We start from the raw sequence: 22,558 nt of genomic DNA, 5'->3' as shown, positions 1-22,558 counted from the left end.
CCACAAGCTTTTGCACATGCGTGTGTCTGGATAGTTGTGGGGCTGGGCGGGGGGCAACATCAATGTGTATAGAACATCCAACGATTTCTGCTATTTTTTCAGTCTCTCATTCTGTATTCCAAAAAAAGGGTAGCAATTCTCTTGGAATGTATTCAGCTAATGCCTTATAAACATGAGTTCTACATCAACAACAACAAAAAATTCTATCCCTTGGTATGATATATCTGTAAGGTTACTATAGTTTACAATAATCTATTATATATTTCAAAATTGCTAGAAGAGAATAGTTTGCTTTAGCATAAAGAAAAGACAAATATTTAAGGTGAAGGATATCACATTTACACTGATTTGATCTTTACAAATTCTATGAATGCATTAAATTACCACATATATCCTGAAAATAGGTACATCTTGGTATGTATCAATAAAAATAAAATACATCAAAAAACAAGAAAGTTGTTTATCTCTCACTCTCTCTCACCCTGTGTGTGTGTGTGTGTGTGTGTGTGTGATGGTTCATGCCACTGTGGCAATTTTTTTTTCATATCACTTTGCTTTCCTTCAAAAATTATTGAAGAAAATTTAGTTTTTTTTCTAGTTTGTCTCAGAAATAATGGCAGATTCACACCTGACTTTCTAAATCCCCATCGTACTGTTTATTGATGGAAGGCAGAAAATTGATGGTCAGAGGAAAGAGATCTCAGAAGAGTAGTGAGGAATGTATTTTTTATCTTATCCAGATAAATGTGCAAAACTTCTTGTGTTTACAGAGAAAGCAGAGGCTCATCATTGAAATGAACCACTTGCGTATGTAAGCCTTTGTCGGGGGGGTCTTGAGGACACATGGTATGGAGGATGAGCAGTGTGATGGCCCAAAGTGAACTGTCAGATTATGCCTTTAGCATCTGCCCCCTGTCCTGCTGACCAGTTGAGAAGTGGTCTTCGTGCAAGAGGAGAGAGGCTTTATTTAATAAATGTCTCTTTACTCTCTACTTTTCTGTCAAAGAAAATTAGTCCCTTTGCCCCAAGTCAGCATGTACTTTCATGCCCTCTTATCTTGGCCAACGCAGATATCTCTGACTGCTTTCTACCCACTGCCTCAAGATGCATACCCTCATTCTCTCTTTAAAACGTTCTCCATCTCTTGAGAGCATATTCATCCCTTGAGGGGGATCCAATGCTGTCGTGTCAGCGAATCTTTCTCCTAGTTTAACATGAGACAAAACAGTGGTCCACAAATTCTGTTGATTATACACCTCATCTATCAAAAAACTTCGAGAAAGTCTCCCAGGAGATGCATATTTATTTACTTCAAATCATGTGCAACAACAACTATTTATGGGTTAAAAAATATTAAATTGCTAATGCTCAACCTTTTGGCCTATGAAAATGGCCATTTCATATAGTTCAACCTAATATGCTATAATGATGTCCAGAAATACTAGTGAAAAGGGATGATATAAAAATTAAATAGATGATGTATTTAAAATCCTGTCATTTCACTTTATTTTTCCCAGCACAGAGAACCTTTTACTTCACTGAAGCATGTTATTAATAATGTTCTGCATACTTAGATGTTAAATGTCTTTCTAATTATAATGGCTTTATACTCTCGTTAGCTAATATCTCAAGCCTCACTATACACTTGAAGCAAGATTTATCTTTAAGAACCGTGGCTCTTAAAATCATATTTCAAGTAACTGTGCTATTTCTTATGAGTCCCTTTTGGCGCTGTTATTACTATGTTCAAGCTGCGGGATTTTTTGCAGGATTTTTTTAGACCATTTATCCATATTGTGGTAAAATAAATAAAATTACAGGTAATCTGTTCATCCTTTTTATTAAGGGCACATAAAGTGCAATACATTGGAATAAAGGGTAAGCAAATAAGCAAATACAATTTTTAAGTTCTCTGCATTAAAAAACTGTTACCTGTCTCTACAGCATATGTTACCATTTGACATACAAACCAAGTCAAGACCTCAAAGTCAATCTGCATATTAAACGTGTAGAATTTAATTTACTTTTCATTTTCATACTAAAATAAAGAGAAAAATATTTCTGCCATTTGTATTTTTAAAAATGTTAATATATATTTTGTTTAACCTCAAATGGCCAAAATAGTATTTTTAAGCTTTTTATTGAAGTATAATTGATGAATAAAAATTGTGTATATTCAAGTTGTACACCATATTGTTTTAATGTATATATACACTGTGAAATAATCACCACAACCAAGCTAATTGGAATATCCATCACTTCACATAGTTATCCTCTGTGTGTGTGGTGAAAATACTTGAGATTTACTCTTCTAGTAAATTTCAAATGTATACACAAGACGTTGTTAACTATAGTCACCTATCCTATACATTAGGTCTCCAAAATGTATACTTATTATAATTGCAAGTTTGTGCCCTTTGGCCAACCTCTCCCCATGTACCCCAGCCTCCGATCCACAGCCACCATTCTACTCTCTGCATCTGTAATTTCAACTTTTATAAATTCTACATACAAGTGAGATAATGCAGCATTTGTCTTTCTGCACCTGGCTTCTTTCACTTAGCATAGTGTTCTCTAGGTTCATCTGTGTTCAAAGTTGTCACAATTGGCAAGGTCTCCTAATTTTTTAAAAACCGAATAATATTCTATTGCATATGTGCTTGTGAGTATGTGTGCATGTTTGTGTGTGTATATATATATACATATATATACACACACACACATCACATTTTTGTTAACCATAGTTTTATCAGTAGATATTTATGTTATTTCCGTATCTTGGCTATTGTGAATAATGCTTCAATAATATGGAAATGCAGAAATCTCTTCCACATACTGATTCAATTCCTTAATAGACATGTATCCTGAAATGGGATTACTAGATCATCTGGTAGTTCTATTTTTAACTGTTTGAGGAACTTCCATACTGTTTTTCCACAAATGGCTGTACCAATTTACATTCCTACCAACAATGTATTAGGGTACTCTTTTTTCCACATTCTTGCCAACACTTTCTATCTTTTTATTTTTTGACACAGTCACCCTAACAGGTATGAGGTGATAGCTCATTGTGGTTTTGATTTACATCTCCCTAATGATTAATTATGTTGGCCATTTTTAATAATATATTGAATACCTGATGGCCATTTGTATGTTTCTTTAAAGAAATGTCAGGTCATTTGCCCATTTTTAGATCATGTGGTCTACTGATGTTGAGTTTTGCGAATTTCTTACATGTTTTTTATATTAACCCCTTATTAGAGATACAGTTTGCAAATATTTTCTCCCATTCAATGGGTTGCCTTTTCGTTTTGTTCATTGTTTTCACTGTTGTGCAGAAACTTTTTTAGTTTGAGGTCATCACACTTGTTTATTTTTGCTTTTGTTGCCTGTGTTTTGATGTTATATCCAAAAAATCATTGTCAAGACAAATGTTATAGACATTTTCCCCTAGGTTTCCTTTAGGCATTTTACAGTCTTAAGTCTTATATTTAAGTCTTTCATCCCTTTTAAATTGATTATTGTGAATGGAGTAAAACAAGGTTACCATTCTTTTTTCTTTTTTTTTTTTTTTTGCATGTGGATATCCCATTTCTTTAACATAATTTATTGAAAAAACTATCTTTATCCCATTGTGTACTCTTGGTGCCCTTGTCAAAGATTAGTGGTCATATATGCATAGATTTATTTCTGAGCTTTCTATCCTGTTTCTTTGGTCTATGTGTCTGTCTTTATGCCAACACCATACTGTTTTGCTTAACATAGTTTTGTAATACAATTTGAAATCAGGGAGTATGATGCCTCTAGCTTTGTTCTTCTTTCTCACAACAACTTTACCTATTCCAGGGTTTTTTGTTTTCCATATTAATCTTAGAGTTGTTTTTTCTTTTTCTGTAAGAAGAAATGCCATTGGAATTTTAAAAAGCATTGCATTGAATCTGTAGACCACTTTGGGTAGTATAAATATTTTGACAATTTTAATTTTTTCCAGTCATGAACATGGAATGTATTTTCATTTATTTGTATCATCTTAAATTTGTTCAATCAATGTTTTATAGTTTTAAGTACACAGATCTTTTACCATCTTGGTTAAATTTGTTCCTAAATACTTTTTTTGTTTTACTGTAAATTGGATTGTTTTCCTAACTTCTTTTTCAGACAGTTTGTTGTTAATGTATAGAAACACTACTGATTTTTGTATGTTGATTTTGTATCCTGAAACGTTACTGAATTTGTTTATTTTGTTATGATATTTCATGGAGTCTTCAGGGTTTTCTCTATATAAGATAATGTCATCTGCGAACAGAGACAATTTAACTTTTTTTCTTTCAGATTTCGATGCTTTTTATTTCTTCTTTTTGTCTAATTGCTCTAGCTAGGACCTCCAGTACTATTTGAATAGAAGTAGTGAGAATGGGCATCCTTATCTAATTCCTAATCTTAGAGGAAAAATTTTCATCTTTTCACCAGTAAGATGTGTCAAATGTCGATGTGTCAAATATGGCCTTTATTTGGGTGAGATACATTTCTTCTATACTTACTATGTTGAGGGTTTTAGTCATAAGAGAAAGTTGAGGTTTGTCAAGTGCCTTTTCTTCATCTATTGATATGATCATGACTTCATTCTGTTCATGTGATGTATCACATTTATTTATTTGTGTATGTTAAATCATCCTTACATCCAAGTGATAAACTCCACTTTTTATGATTCTTTTAATGTGCTGCTGAATTCAGTTTGCTAGTATTTAATGTAGTATTTTTTGCATCTACATTCATCAAGGAAATTGATCTCTAATTTTCTTGTCTCATAGTATTCTTCTCTGGTTTTGGTATCAGGGTAATGCTGATCTCATAAGTTTGGAATGTTCTCCCCTCTTACATTTTTGGGAAGAGCTTGAGGAGGATTTGTATGGATTCTTCTTTAAATGTTTGGTAGAATTCACTAGTTACATCATCAAGTCCTGAACTTTGCTTTAATGGAACATTTTTATTTAATTACTGATTCAATCTCCTTAGCCATTATTAGTTTGTTCAGATTTTTTATTTCGTCATTATTCAATCTTGGTAGGTTGTATGTGTCTTGGAAGTTACCAATTTTTTCTACGTTAGCCAATTTGCTGGCATATAATTGTTAATAGTAATCTCTTGGGATTCTTTGTTTTTTTTTTTTTTTGAGATGGAGTCTTGCTTTTGCCCAGGCTGGAGTGCATTGGTGCTATATTGGCTCACTGCAAGCTCCGCCTCCCAGGTTCATGCCATTCTCCTGCCCCAGCCTCCCAAGTAGCTGGGACTATAGGCGCCCACCACCACACCCAGCTAATTTTTTTTGTATTTTAGTAGAGACAGGGTTTCACCATGTTAGCCAGGATGGTCTCGATCTCCTGACCTCGTGATCTGCCCGCCTCAGCCTCCCAAAGTGCTGGGATTGGGATTCTTTGTATTTTTATGGTGTCAGTTGTAACGTCTCTTCTTTCATTTCATATTTTATTTAATTTTCTTTACTCTTTTTTTATTAGTCTAGCTGAAGATTTGTCAATTTTATCTTTTCAAAAATCCCACAGTTTTGTTATTTTTTCCATAATTTTTATAGTATATGTTTCCTTTATTTCTTCTTTAATCTTTGTTATTTCTCTCCTACTAACTCTGGGCTTGGTTTGTTCTTTTTATTCTCGTTACTTGTGGTGTAACATTAGGTTGTTTATTCAAGATCTTTCTTCTTCTTTAATGTAGGCATGTATCACTATAAAATTCTTTCTTAGAACTGCTTTTGCTACTTCTGTAACTTTTGATACATTGTTGTTTCCATTATCATTTGTATTCAATTTCTTCTTTGACTCATTGATGTTTTAGGAGCATGTCGTTTAATTTTCTTGTACTTGTAAAATTTCCAGTTTTCTTCCTGTTGTTGATGCAATTGTGGTTGGATAAAATAGTTGATACCATTTTAATCTCCTGACATTTGTTAAGACTTGTTTTGTGGCCTGATATATGATCTCTCCTAGAAAATGTTCTGTGTGTGCTTGAGAAGAATGTGTTTTCTACTGCTGTTGGATAGAACATTCTGTATATATATTTTAGGTGTATTTGGACTAAAGTGTATTTCAATGTTTTCTTATTGATTTTTTTGTCTGGATGACCTATTCATTGTTGAAAGTAGGGTATTCAGGTTCTCTACTATTATTGTGTTGCCACCTGTTTCTCTCTTCAGATCTATTAATATTTGCTTTATATATTTAGGTGCTCCAATGTTAGGTGCATATGTTTTTATAATTATTATATCCTCTTGATGAATAGACCTTTGTATCATTATGTAAATCTCATTTTACAGTTTTTGACTTAACGTATATTTTGTAACAGTATAGATAATCAGCTGTTTCTTGGTTTCCATTTGCTTGGAGTATATTTTTATATATTTTCACTATCAGTCTATGAATGCTCTTTTTGCAGAAGTGAGTATCTCATAGGCAGCATATACTTGGGTCCTATATTTTTTTATTTTTTTAATTTTAAATTTTATTTTTTATTTTTATTCATCCACGCTCTATGTCTTCCATTTAGAGATTTTAATCTATTTACATTCAAAGTAAATAATAGGTAAGATATACTTCAAGGTATACTATATTATTAAAAGGTAAGGATTTACTGTTGCCATTTTGTTAATTATTTTCTGGCTGTTTTGTATATCCTTTGTCCTTTTGTTCTTTTCTTGTTATCTTCTTATGTGATTTGATGATTTTATGTAGCAATATGCTTTGATTTCTTTCTTTTCTTCTCCTACATAGCTACTATAGATTTTTGCTTTGTGGTTACAGGCTTACATAAAACATAACAGTCTATTTTAAGCTAGTAACAACTTAACTTTAATTGCATATGAAACCTCTACACTTTTAATTTCCCCTTCCATATACAATGTAAAATGATGTCAGTTGTGACATCAAAATCACAATTTACATCTTTTTACACTGTATATTCTTTAACAAATTATTGTAGTTACACTTATTTTTAATAGTTTTAACTTTTATACCACAGACACAGATGATTCACACACCACCATTATGATATTATTCTGAATTTGATCTGAATTTGGCTATATACTTATTTTCTTCTTAAAGCCAGTGGAATGTATCGCACACTCCACTATGACAACTACTTACTAATTTAATAGAAGTTATAAGCTTTATAGTCAGAAAGATCTGAGTTCAAAGCTACATACTCACCGGTTTGATAACTTGATGGGCTTTGATTTTCTGGGTTTCAATTTCCTCTTCAGCAAACTAGAGAGACTATATGTTCAGTAGAGATACTATGTGAACAGTAGAACCTTTCTGGGCATCTGTTCAATTCACAGCCTCTAATACAACTGTGTTCCTTGCCCTCCAAAGGGGGAGAATTGTTTGTGCTTCATGAGCTTTTCTCCCTGGCCAGAACTTAGTAAATAGGGATGATCCCTGGCCCATACTGGGCTAACTAGATTCTTTTTCCCTGGAATTTAGCATTGGAACATTGCATTGAGAAACCATGTAGTTGGGTGTGGTGCCTAACTGAGATTTGGGTCTGTTTTGTGACTGAGCTAAGAGGTCATTTACCTGCCATGTGTGCAGAGAAATAGAAAAAGCAGTTTTGCAGAGTGCAATCCATGAAGCAGACACCCAGAGCATGGCAGGGGCAAGAGTTACAGTTGAATGAGCTCTCTAAGCCAACTTGAAGGACAATTCTGTGGCTCCATTACCTAAACACTTGGCTGCTTAGCTTTTCAAGGGAAAATGATAATTTCTCTAAATGGACTTACTAGGCAACTGTCAGAAATGAAAGACTGAAAAGATTTCATGGAAAGAGGCAGAAAGAACAAAATGGTATTTTGGGTCTGTCCAAATTCTCTTCATAAGGTACTTTCTCTGCAAGACTAATTACAGCAGGGTTTACCCTGAGTTGCAGTGAGTCATTTAAAAAGCAATTATTGCCAGCAGCCCTTGTTCTTTGGCTGAGAGTTGAATGGGAAATTTAATAGTATTATGAGAATTTTCCCCTTCCAAACTAATTCCAAGAAATGATATAAATTGAGTGTGTGTTTATTTTTTTAAGACAAGCTTATCTTAATTGAGTTTTTCATAATTATGTTCCACTGGTTACATATGAAATGGAAAGAGAGGGGCGGTGTAGGGAAGTGAGCACTTGAGTTTCTAAATTATTTCTTTCTCTGTGCTTCATTTCAGGCCTTTTCTTGCATCATTCAAGGTACATTGTAGCACTCAGGACTGGGCGTTGCACAGAGTGGTTGCATAAGCTTGATTACTGATTAGTACCAAGATAGTTTAGAATAATGACCAGAGAGCATTGTGGGAATAAATGTTCCTGGCTCTGACTACAGATATGCATGGGAATCTCTCATCCTATTAGTAACATCTGAGTACATGGCTGAGGGTATCAATGAGAACACCATTTATTGATCATGAACTATGCACAATAGCAATATTGAGAGTATTGCTTATATTACTCAGTTAACGCTGACAACATTCCTAGTATCCTGCTAATCTTAAAGGTGAAGAAAATTAGGCTGGGTGATAGTTAAGCTGTTCAAAGCCACACAATTAGTAAATGATAATGGGTGTCCACCCTGGGCCTTGCCTGCTATGAAGCCAGGATCTCGGCCACTCTGCCTTGCTGCCTTTTAGCTATATAGTATTTATTGAATGAACATTTATAATACCTGTGATAAAAGGAAAACTTCAGCGAATTAAATTTAAAGGAGTTTAATTGAGCAATGGATGATTCACGAATTGGGCAGCCTCCCAGAGTCACAGCCGATTCGCAGAGACTCCAACACAGCAACATGGTGGTAGAATATTTATAGACAAAAGAATGGCCAGGCACAGTGGCTCATGCCGGTAATCCCAGCATTTTGGGAGGCTGAGGTGGGTGGATCACCTGAGGTCAGGAGTTTGAAACCACCCTGACCAACATAGTGAAACCCCGTCTCTACTAAAAATACAAAATTAACCGTGTGTGGTGGTGCATGCCTGTAATCCCAGCTACCTGAGGGGTCAAGGCAGAAGAATCGCTTGAACCCAAGAGGCGGAGATTGCAGTGAACTGAGACTGTGCCATTGCACTCCAGCCTGGGCTACAAGAGCGAAACTCCATCTCAAAAAAAAAAAAAAAAAAAAAAAAAAGACAAAGGAAATGAGGTACATAAATTGGAAGTGAGGTACAGAACAGCAGGATTGGTTACAGCTCAGCTTTTGCCTTATTTGAACAGTCTGAACACTCAGCAGTGTATGAATGATTGAAGTATGGCCTCTCAGCTATTGTTACAGGTGCATACTCCTAAATTAGGTTTTTGATCTTGTCTACCTATTGAGCTAGGTTGCAGATTGTCCACAAGAATTCAAATATAGAAGTATGGAGTCCTTCTCAGGCCATATTTAGTTCACTTTAACACCTGATTGAGTCATACTGTTTGTGAGGACAATAAATGTTTAAATTGGAAGGCTGTTAATAATGATTTATATAAATTCTGCCTTTTATAGTGATTCCTTCTTAATTAAAAGTGTTGAATGACTTACCAATTTGGGTTAAATTTGTATAATTGTTAAAGAAATTCAGTTACATTACGTGAATGTTCAATGACTCCATGGAAAAGATAACAGTACCTTTCAGGACTTCTTCATATAGAAGTGAAAGAGACCCATTTTTAACCAGCTTAATGACAAAGGGAATTAACTGGAAAGATACTAGTTTGGTTTGTATAATTGTATTGGGAGCCACAAGAACCAATAAAGTTCTGAGGACATCAGAGACCAAAACTGAGAACTCTATGTTGGGCTCACCTTTTCTCTTCCCCCTTGATTTCGTCTTCCTCAAACAGGTACACTGGCCACCGAATGGTTTAAGGATTTATGTTTGAAGCTGCAAGACTCTTGAGAACAGAGGAGACCATCCCTCAATGGTTGTAGCAGAAAAGTTCCAAATACACATACAGGCTGACCCTGAAACATCCTCAGGAGACAGAATAATTTTAGAGACCTAAATGTGGATTTGCCCATATTAGTGGTAGCCAAAGGAGATTATTTCCAATTACCAGAAGAAAGGAGTCTTGTGTACTGTTTACAATCAAGTCTTTAATTTTCTAGAATACTTACAAAATCTTTTTAGCATATAAAAATTGAAAAAAATACTCCTTCCCAATATAACAGCTACCCATTGTAATTACTGCTTCTAAAATTATGTCCAGATGTTATTTCTTCCTCAAATCCAGGGTTTTAAAATACTGTGCCTTCCTCTCTCTGAGATCTAGTTGGGGCATAAAAAGATTCTGTATACTTTCAGCTAATGATAAATATGACTATCTGTTTTCTCTAATAAGCATTCCTGAGGTAAAATATTAATCAACATAATTGTCTCATGGAAAAAGGGAGGAAGAGGAAGTAATATTCAGCGGCCACTGGCCAGATATACAATACTCCAATGGATAGGGATAGAAATGTACATCCATTCATTGTCTTGCTTGTTAGTAATAGACTGAGATCCTTTTTCAACTGATATGATTGCCACAGAATCTACCTACTGGGTGAATTCACTTACCTGGCATCATCCTGGGCCATTCATAAAAGGTGTTGTACAGTGAGAAGAAATCCCATTCTATGGTTGAATCTTTGCTGAATATCCTTGAATGAGCCTGAGGACAGTCTTAGGGAATGTGCCATCCAAACCTCTTTTTTTGATACTTGGTGTTTATCTAGCCTTAAGTATTCTTTAAAATACTAGTCTGGAAGTCTGATGCAAGAATATATGTCTGGTCATTATCTTTAAATAAGTACCATACCCCTTTGATTGCTTATCAATAGGCCTGACATTTTGACCATCAGATTAATGGCTTCTGTCTTGACTCCTACCTCAGAGTAAAGTGAAAGAAAGGATAGGATGATAAGTTAAAGCTAATTCCCTTTCCTGCCCACCACTGCATCCAAGTTGCTTAGGCCATAGGGAATGATTACCTTGGGTAGGCAGGGAAGAATCTAATCTTCTTTCACTTTTCTCACTGCCCTGTTTTTGCTTATACTAACTTTATGACGGGGTAAAACAATTAGTTTTCCAATTCTACAGAGGACTTTCCTGCCTTAACCTTTCCAGTTTAGCATTGCTGAGGCTGTGTAGAAAGAATTTTTTATGTAGAGGTGCATACAGATTTCTCTGTGATTTCAGGTAAATCAATTTGTCTTTTTGTTGTAGAAATTTACTGAAGAATGCAGAACAGAGCCTACAGTCCAATATCATCACATTTTTCTACTAAGTCACTGATATTCTGGTTTTGTTGGGCACATGGTTGAAGTTTCAAGATACCACAAGAAACCCGTAACCCAATGCTGTTCTACTTTTCAACAAGATATTTCCTAGCTGAAGATGATCAGGGGAGTGGAGAGTGATTAATGAGGATTCCCCTATCTCATCTTGACAAAACCCAGTCCCACATTTTGGTTTTCAAAATTGTTGTCCCCACTTCTGGTATCAATTCCAATTGCTAGTCAGGGTTCTTTGAGTTTGGAGTGTCAAAATCTCAACCTGATCTAACTTAAGCAAACAAACAAATAAACAAAAACTCTCTTACATTATACATATTAACTAGAGAAATCCAGTTATATCTGAGACAGGAATAAATGACTTGATGTTGCTAGATATCTTTCTGTCTACTTCTCATCACCACTTTTCTCTCAAAATCATCTTTATTCTCATGTGTTTATCCATGTGACAGTAAATGTGCTATCATGTTGAGTCATATTCTTATAATTTACTACATGCAAGAGTTAAAAAAACTCTTTGTTCTTAGTTCCAGCAGAAAATGCTTAGAGAGGGCTTCCAGTTTGTGTGGTTTGGGTTATGTGGACATTCCTAAATTACTTGTGTTACCAGCGGATGCTTTACTCTGATGGGCCGGGTCTCAGTCACAGACTCATTCTTGCAATCAGAGTGGTGAGGTCTGTAAACAGAATATGTAGAAGAAGAGCATTAGGCAAATAAAGATAATAGTTGAAATAATTATGATGCACTCTGTTGTTATGATGCAATCATGTAGGTGCTGCCTTAGGAGCACAAAGAAGAGAGCAGGGAAAAACTTAGTCTCTTGCTTCTTATCTAGACCAGAAATGCTTGAGGTCAGAGACTGGGTCACATTTGCCTTTGTGTTCACATAACTTATCACAGAGAGTACCTTATCGTAGATATTTTAAAAATTAATACATGTGAAGAGAAGCTGGCAGGAAGGAAGCAAGGAATGAGAGTCCACTCTGGAAACTGTTTAGATTTCCCCTACGAAACTTTATCCTGGCACAGGGGATAAATGGACGGACTAAAATTATTGGTCAGTAGAATCTGCAGTGGGATAAGGAAAAGGAAGCAAACCATCCATTTCAAATCATAGAGTTTTAATAATTTCCCTTAATGCCAGATATGCTCACAACTGCTTTTCAGCTCCCAGTGAGACTGTGGCATGCCATACATAAAATCCTCTCTGAAATCTGCTTATAGCGCACTTGTGGTTTGACAAGCACTAAGCTTATCTTTTTCATGGTTGCTGCTTGTGTCAAAGCAATTTAAAAATTGAAGAGCAATTTGGCAGCTTGTTCATACCTCCAGTGAGTGGCTCTACCCCATTATTTACAATTTCTTCAAATTTTAAGACATGCTGCTTGGATAGATGTTGGAACAGGTAAAGTTGTGACCATGGTAGAGATTAAGCAGAATTACTTCAGACATTTGTGAAATAAGCCAGGAATTATTTATAAACAGGTCATTAATTAGTAAGTATAAAAATGAGACTACCATTTTTGTCATGGAAGAAATTAATCTTTCTTCTAATGGATAACAACTAAAGAGTGATGAAGGGAAGTAGCTTGCCTTATACATGCATAGCCACAATTATTCCTTTATTCAAATCCATTCAATGATACTTCCAACATATATGATTCTTTTTTCCAACGAGAATAAATGTAACCTCTTTTATAACAGGGAACATGGGCTTCCATCAGTGTATCATTGATACCTGTCAGGTATCAAAAGAAAAGAGATAAAAATCAAAATGATTTTTAAATAAAGGTGAAGAGTCAGTAGATAAATGAATTTAACATAAAATATGGTGCTATAAATACAGAGAGGAATAAAACCAATTTCCTGCTCTCAAGAATTTGTTCTAGAGAGAGTGAGTAAACAGCTGTCCACAGTTCAGTGGGCTGGGGATTGAGGGTTTTGGTCAGAGGTGTACAGGGTGCTGTGGTTGCACAGAGAAGCAAACCTTTGCATCTGCATGGGGGATTGGTGAAGGAATTTCTCATAAAGGAAATGACATTTGAGGGATTTCAAACCAATACCTTTCACATAGTAAACATTTAATAAATATTTGTTGACTAAATAAGCAAGCATCGAAAGATGAATATAAGCTTGTCAGAAACAGAAATGGAGAAATAAATAGCAATTTAGATGTAGGGGAATGGAATGTGCAAAGACTTAGAGGCATAAAAGTACCTGGCCTGATGGGAAAAGAGTGACCCTGAAAGTTCCCACCTGGAAGCAGCAGTGACCTTCCCACTGCCAAATCTGAAGGGCATGTTTCTGTGCCCTTGCTGGGCCTTCAGAGCCTGTCGACCACCCCTCTACCACCAAACTTTTACTTCCATTGGCTTCTAACATTGCATGTCCTCTGCACTTCACTCTTACTGTCTTGGTAACTGTCACTTCTCCAAGAGATCCCCATTCTCTCTTCTTCCTGTAACTATTAGTGTTCCTTAGGACTTTGTTTTCCTAACACACATTCCGTGGATAATTTCAGCCACTTCTTTGGCTTTAAGTGTCATCTCAATACAGATAAATCTGAGATGTATGTTTCTAAATCAGAGCCCTTTTCCAATTGTTAGACATTTAAATCCATTTACCTATTAATAATTTACTTATTTATTGTTAAAAATATTTAAATGATGTTGACCGCTTACTTCATGACAGATATTAGGGAGGCATTGATAACAGTTCATAGTGATAATTGACTCCAAAGAAGTACATAAGATTGCTCAGTAAGAGCATGTGGGGAGAGAGAAGAGCAGGGAAAAGAACAGAAGAGAGAGGAGAGGAGAGGACTTACAGCAAAAACCAGAGATATGATCAAAGCAGCCAGATGATAAGCTGCAGGCAATTAAGTCTGAGGGCAATCAGAGATAGAAAGAAAACATGAAAGTGTGGTTCATACAACCAAAACAGAAGTGGTATTTCAATAATTAGGGAGATTGAGAATACATACTTTCACTTGTGAAATGAGGGAACACACCAGGTTGTGTTCAGTTGAGAAAAGAGTGGAAGGTAGGTGAAGCCCAAAAACCTAGCTTGCATTTAAAGAAGGCTGATGGATGGGGGAGTGAGCTACAGTAATACATGGAAGGACAAGGGCATGGTTGTCCTCTGACACCCAGACACACGATGGCTGCCCATGTGCACTTGTGTTTCTCCCTTCCCTCTTCCCAGAGAATTGCCTGCTAACATCAGAACTCTGAGAGGTATCCTGGGTTTCCCACTCTCCCTTGCATACAAGCAGTCACCAGGGGAACCCCATAGGGAGGCAGCATTACATAATGAAAGCTGAGGCAGAGGAAAAAGATTTTTACTAGGGTTCAAGTCCTGGCCGTGCCACTCACCAACTCTGTGGCCTTGGGCAACGGCTTGACCCTGTCTGAGTCTCGGTCTCTCTTCTTCTGAAACCAAAGAGAAAGACATCTATTTTGAAGTGCAGGGGTAATTATTACTGCTAAATGGTAGGTAGTAAGCCAAGTGATAGGCAGTTAATTGGATGTTATTATTACTTTTCTTTCCACTTCTTTATTTCTTCCAGCACCACTGCTACTACTGATTTTGGACTCATCTTAGGTTCAGAAAGGTCAAGTGATACAGAGAACTTTACACTGCCAGTTGAGAGCAGGCCAGAGACCAGAAGGTTGCTCTGTCAACTTGAGATGCAGTTGAGTACTATTTTCCCCCAGTGCAAATGGTGGCCTGTGGTAGGGTCAGGAGGATGACACCACATCAGAACATCCTGGCTGCTCTGGGGAAGGGGACACCCCACCTCCATGGACTAGGGCAGCACTCACTGCTTTCCAACTTGCTTCTGGGCTCTTTCCAAAAGAGGTTGCTAAGATAGAGTGCTTGAAATTCATAGCAGGTAGGATATTAGCTGTCTTATTTGGAGCTTCAGGAGTTTTACATTTTCCATATAGCATCTAATCCATTATTAAAACAAACAAGTGTATCGACCATTCTGCATGCACTTTCTCAAGTGGCAGATGAATCTTGGTTATCTATTTCCTTCACCATTACTAATGCAGCCACATGGACCCTGGAATAAATTGAATCTTTTTTTGTGAAAGTCTTATTTGCTCCCTTGCTCCTGCCCTCCACCACCTCCCCCAAGGGACAGATGCTCCAGTGCTCAGCAGTAGCTCTGGAGAAGGGAAGGTGGTGGCAGCTCATCCTCATCTGAAACTCATCTTCATCTGTTCCAGGGTCATCTTCAGCCATGACATTGTCCTTATCATGACCAATGCATGGGAGAGTATTTTTGATGGCTTTTTGTAAAGACAAAGCAAAGCAAAGTGACAATGCACTTAATAATGTTGTCTCACTTGAAGTAACTCAGTGAACTATGCTGAGATGGCTTTTGAGCTTGAGCCTGAATCTTCATTGCTGGAGAGAAAGAAAGAAAAAAAACTTAAGAGGATGGTGGGCTCCAGGACTCAGGAGGTGTGCTGAGATGTAGCACTGAGCTAGAGTAATGTCTAAAAATGACTAGATTTTTTCCTTGTCCTTCTCCCTGTACCCCCTCTGTTTCTCCTTCCATCTACCCTTCTTTTCCTCTTCCTTTCCTTCTGTTTTGCCTCCCTGTGACATCATCATCAACATCACTGTCACCATCATCATCATCATCTTCTTCTTCTTCATGATGATCTTTATCATCAGAAAAAGCATACACTGGGCATCTGCTCTAATAATATATTCATTATGTGTCTCTCTCTACTGGTTTTGTAAGTTCCTTGAGGACAGAGGGCAAAACTCTCTCATCATCTGTGTATTCCTTGCACACATGACAGAAATTGAATGAATATGTTAAGTAAATTAACAAATGGACTTTTGAAAGTCAGCAAGATTAAAACAATTAGGATAACTGAATTAATCTTTGTAAGCTGATCTTTGTGTTGGGGCCTGATTATATCCCCATGGAGAAGCAGCCTCTGTTTAGGGCAACACAGATAGACATTAGAGTGAGGATGTTATTCCCTCAAATCTAGCTTTTCCTCCACTGCTGCTCTGACTTGGGATAAATTGTCTTCCTCTCTTTTAAAACATGGCACTGATGAGACGATTGCATAAAGTAATCAGTTTCTGGCATGTAGTGGTTTTCGCATCCAAACGATTACTTTTTGCAGGGCATAATGATAAGTTTCATTTGACAGTTATGCCTTTCATTTCTTCTGCAGGTGCCACCAGAAACTTCAGGTTTGAAACTCACGATTCATTGGCCTGTCTCTATTGCTACTCCATTACTTGCCACTGTGCACTTTCATCTCATTTTAATAGACGTATTATAGCTATAGTGTTTACTATAAGGAGCTTCATATTGCTTTTAAGAGTGGGCATTGGAGGAAATAATATGTGTGAATATACGTGCTCATGATTGTTAGTGAAATCTCCATTATTAATCCCCATTTTAATGTGAGTATTATGTAATCCGAGCAAAGCCAGAATGCCACCATCATTTCATCATTTCAGTGAAGGGAAGAGTTAGCTGGGAATAGGAGTGCATGGTTGTGGTGATTTCCTTCTTGCTATCAGCTGATAGGCAGCAGGTTTGACAAAGCCCACAGCATGCACTGGGAAACATGACTCTAGCCCTTTGCAGTAAGTCTCGGATGGCAAGACTACATCTTTAGCCAAGTTGGACATTGATTGGATTCTCCCCTTTGGTTTTTCCAGTTCTGATTTCTTCTAGCGGCTGTTTACCATGCCAATTCTAGCTCAGCTTGGCTTTTTGTTTGTTCTGTTCTGACACATAGCAGTGGACTTTGGTGTGGCCCATGAACTTTGGTTTGACTTCCAATATTAGAATTAATAGTTGGCCTCTGGTGTGGACCCTGAAATGCAATATGATTTCATTGCAAAAGTTAATAAATAGTAACCACCAATCTGTGCAGCCCAGGCAGGAGCAAGGAATAGGCAGATGGAACAAAGAAATTATCTGGCATGACTCAGTCACATAACCCCCAAATGTCCCAGTGTGCCAGCAGTCATAGCAGCAAGAGCACAGTAGATCACAGGATGCTACTAGCCACAAAAACCGAGGCACCCTGGAAAATTGACGGTGAAACTGGAGGATTGGAAAGTCTGTGATTGAGCCAGACAAAGGCAGTTTCAGGTCAACCCAGGTCATGGGTTGAAAAACAAAAATTGCAATCAGCTACAGAGAAATGAGTTCAGAGACTGAGCCCCATGGATCCTTTGTTAACCACTGCAGGTGGGCCTTGGCTGATGAGCACCCCTTCTTTGGCCAGTCTTTAAGGGACAACACTCTTGTGTTGCTGCCTGGGAGGCAACATGTATGATTTCTGTGTCAGACTATAAAATAAAGAACCTCTGGACTTATTTTGGTGGGTAAGCCTGCAATCATAAAGACTGCCTTCTTTGTTTCTGTTAGTAACACTTTTACTTAAAAGCATATATTTGTGGCCGGGCACAGTGGCTCACGTCTGTAATCCCAGCACTTTGGGAGGCTGAGGTGGGCGGATCATGAGGTCAGGAGATCGAGACCATCTTGGCTAACATGGTGAAACCCCGTTTCTACTAAAAATACAAAAAATTAGCCGGTCGTGGTGGCAGGCACCTGTAGTCCCAGCTACTCGGGAGGCTGAGGCAGGAGAATGGCATGAACCTGGGAGGCGGAGTTTGCAGTGAGCTGAGATTGCACCACTGTACTCCAGCCTGGGTGACACAGCAAGACTCTGTCTCAAAAAAAAAAAAAAGCGTATATTTGTGTGCAAGGAATCCAAGTTGGTAGCATTTCACATACTTTTTTGACTAGTGCAGACTACACATCACTATACATACAAGGATAACACCAAAATCTCCCTTTGTTCAATAAGTGTCAAGTGTCTCCTCTCTTTCTCTCTCTCTCTCACCTCTCTCTGTGCCCTTACATATCAACATAATGAAAGGACTTATTCAGTAATCATATTTCTAATACTGTAAAATATTTAATTTTTGTTTCCTTAAATATTGTCATAATATGACATTGTTTCTCTTTAAGGTGGGGATTCCACTTTCTTATGATACTTCACCATTTTAGGTAAGAGTTGTCTTTTGTTTCAATGAGTCCACGTGAGATGAGAAACAAGCAAGGGATTAGGCTGCCCTGCAGCCTCTAGGAAGTCACTGGGTCCATCCATGATGGTAACTTGGAACCAAATCCAAGCATTGAATGAACTTGTGTCAGGTGACCTTGACCATTGACTCCACCTCTATGACCTTCAGTTTTCACACTGAACAAGCAGAGATCATATTGTCTTCTTAGCAGGTTCAAAGAGGATTAAATAAGATGATATTTATAAAATGCGTAGTGCAACGCTTGGTTCACTGGATATAAAAGGTTATTATTATTTTTAGATTATTGAGATTACTTATGTGTTTGGGTAACAGTGACAAATTATACGTGCCTGGAGGGTAGCATGCTAAACCAGTGCACTACAGTACAAGATAAAGACTAGAATGAGCTGGATTTTTTAAATTGGTTTCCTTTTATTTGTAATATGAGTAGTTTCTATCTTCTGATTTTTCTCTCTCCCTCCCACTTATGTTAGATAAAATGATGCTTAATCTCATGATGATGCAAAAGATTGGTTTCCCTATCCAGGCCAACATGAAGAGAAGACAGCCTGTTTTATGCCAGGCTCATACTAGTCACTTTCACTCATCACACACTTTCCATCTGTCTTAGTCCATTCAGGCTGCTACAATAAAACAACCGAGTGGCTTATAAACAACAGAAATTTCTTTCTCATAGTTCTGGAGGCTGGACGTCCAACAGATGTGGTGTCTGGTGAGGGCTGCTTCCTGGATCATAGATGGTGCCTTTTCACAGCGTCCTCACATGGTGAAAGGAGCAAGACAGCTTTCTGGGGCTTCATTTATAAGGCCACAAACTACATTGGTGAGGGCTCCACCATCATGACCTAGTCAGCTTCCAAAGTCCTCATCTCCTTCACCTTGAGGATTAGGATTCCACTTCTATATTTGGTATCATGGGAGACAAATATCTAGACCACAGCATTATCATATTATCTATAACACTGTATTACATTTGTTCTGTGTCTGATGTTCCCTCAGTGTACTTTGAATCTCTCAAGATATGGATCTTTTTCCATTACTTTCTGCATTTCCTGCACCTATACCTACATTTATTCAGGCCAATGATTGAACAAAAATTCAGCATTCAGCTGAAATTTACCTATAGTTTTTGTTTGTTTATTGTTTTTTGTTTTTGTTTTTGTTTTCCAGTGGGCAGCGTCTATTATGATTGGGCAATACCATATCTTACTAGTTGTTAAATAGTGTAAATACTGATACTGGTTAGGGGTTGAATGGATATACTTTATCCTCACAGTACTCATGAAGTTAATATTATTCAATGTGCATATAAGTGGAAACTGATGCTTAGACAGGATTTATGCAACTTCCACATTCTTTCAGAGTGTGGAAGGGGGCCAGAATTTGAAATCTGTTTTGTCTAGTCCAAAGCCCAAATGCTCTCTCTATTTTTTGTTGCCAGCTATGAATCTTTAATTTTTTAAACAATCTGGTATTGAATACTTAGAATATTTTATAATTCAAGTCTTAGTTTAAAACTTTACATCATATAGGCAAGAAAAGCCAGATGGATCTGTGCATAGAGTTAATATCTTACAACCCACAGTCAGGCAAGAGCAAAACATTCAAAGTGATTTCAGGCAAAATGTATCCTAATCTACTAAGTGTAAGGCATTTATATACAAATAGAAAATCAAACTCAATAATCTAAACAAAGTCAACCCTCACCTCCTTTGAAAATCCTGTGCTTAAATATTTGCATGTATACACAATGAAAAACACAAGCTTGATGAATACTTTATATAGTTTGTTCTAGATTGAATGTTTGCATCACTCCAAAATGCATACGTTGAAGCCCTAACCCCTAGGGTGGCTGTATTTGGTGACTGGCCTTCTAAAGAAGTATTACAGGCTGAGCAATGTGGCAAAACCTCATCTCTACCAAAAATACACAAAATTAGCCAGGCGTGATGGCATGTACCTGTAGTCCCAGCTACTTGGGAGGCTGAGGTGGAAGGATTGCTTGAGCCCAGGAGGTGGATGTTGCAGCAAGCCAAGATTCCACCACTTCCCTCAGCCTGGGTGACAGAGTGAGACCTCATCTCAAAAAAAAAAAAAAAAAAAGTAATTAACATGAAATAAGGTCATAAGGGTGGGGCCCCGATCCAATAGGATTAGCGTCCTTATTAGAAGAGACACCAGAGAGCTATGTGCCAAGGAAAAGCCATGTGAGAGCATAGCAAGGAGGCAACAGTCTGATAGCTCAGAAAAGTCCTCACCAGAAACTGAAACAACTCTGCTGGCACCTTGATCTTGGACTTGCAACCACCACAAGTGTGAGAAAATAGAGTTCTGTTATTGAAGCTACCCAGTCTATGGTATTTTGTTATGGCAGCCAGAGCTGACTAACACACATTCAAAACAGCTTCCAAGGGAAACGTGGTTGAGTTGACCAAATCAACCTTAGTTAACATAGACACTGGCTAAGAATGGGTGGTTATCAGATTACATATGCTCATGCCTTAAAATAAATATTGCCAATCAGCACATATTAAAGGGGCTCAACTTTGTCCAGTCAGTCCTGTAAGAAGAGAGTATAAAAATGTTTTGTCCAGTCAGTCCTGTAAGAAGAGAGTATAAAAATTAAGGCTATGTCAGCCTTAATTGAAATTTTCAATATGTTTATGAGTAAATAAATTATCTTTAGTTCTCATCTTCTTTGTAAAAATCACAGGAGTGGATAAGAAGGCCTCCAAGGTTTTCTTCATGTATGGGACTTTTTGGGGTACTTGTTCTTCCCCATTTTATAAGGAATTGATATACTCAATACTAACTGTTGAAAAGTGTAAAGCAATTTGAATTTCCACCTACCTTCAATAAAGGCAGAAGGTCTGGGGATGGCATTCAGCATCCATACTTTTTATAGTTCCCCTGGTTATTATAATATGCTGTCAAGGTTCTCAACAGCAACAAAAACTCTCTGCCTCCTAAGAATACTATGTTCTTTCCACTACTAGGCCTTGGTGTGTGCTCCCTCTCTGCTTGCAATAGAGAGTTATTTTTCATCCTCCTAATTTCTTTTTTGACATCTTTACCACATATTTTAGGCAGAATTTGATTTCCCTTCCCTTATCTAAAGAACCAATTCATAGTTCAGAAACAGTACTAGCCTCACAGAGGTTAGAGAACATATTGCATCCCTCTTCCATGCTCGGCCCCAGCATAGAACTCTACACACTTCAAGTGTAGCAAATAAATAGTGTATTTGACTGTAGATAAATTAGTTCAGCTCTCAGAATCTGTTGACTCATCTATAAAGAACTCTTGCAATTCTGACATCACCTAGAAATTCAACATAAATAAATCTTTGTGTCTGAACATAAAAGCATATGATACAAAAACTCCAACCGCACTTTTAGAGAATTGTTCAATCAAAAAGCTGTTAAAATGCACACACTTTACAACAGAAGAAATTCAAATCTGCCTCGGTTCTGACAGAAAGAGGATGCTGAGGGACACCTGCATTTAAGTGGTGGCTGTCAGACAAGGCCAGGAGAGCTGTAAGCAGCATGAGCTGTCTACACCCTGACTGCTGGGTGAGAAGTCCACAGGGAAAGAGCTTTGGCTGCAGTTGGGTTGTCTTCATATTATCTTGCCTCATGTCTGGCTCAGTTGCAGTAAAGAATACATACTGTCTATAATTATTTAACTACCCTTTTCTATTCTTAACCACAAACTAAAAGTCAAGTCATTTATGATACAAATATAATGGGATAAACAGGAAATTAAGAACTCTACAAAGCCATTCACATTTACCATAATGAATTCTGCTGATTAAAAAGCCCAAACAGACTCGTTAGTGTATTCTTTATTGTGTCTGCATTTTGAGTTTATGTTAGACTTTCTCCTTTGCTTTCTGGTGATCAAGAAAATCTAGGAGATGTATCTGTGATGATACTGAGGAGGATTTTCTCAACCATAAAATGTCAGGGCTGAAAGGAATTGGAGTAAGTATGTGGTATGCACCTTTACTTCACAGATAGGTGACTTGGAGCTTTGAGAGAAAACAGTTATTCAAGGTTTTAACCAAAGATTCCTTGACCAGTGCTCTTCTGAGTACAATGGGATCTGTGGAAATTTCTCTTCCATCCTAAGAGGGTCTCTGTCTCGCAACT

This window comes from Homo sapiens, chromosome 8 (assembly GCF_000001405.40).
Source record: "Homo sapiens chromosome 8, GRCh38.p14 Primary Assembly".
Classification (NCBI taxonomy): domain Eukaryota; kingdom Metazoa; phylum Chordata; class Mammalia; order Primates; family Hominidae; genus Homo; species Homo sapiens.
Note: the sequence above shows the minus strand (reverse complement) of the source record.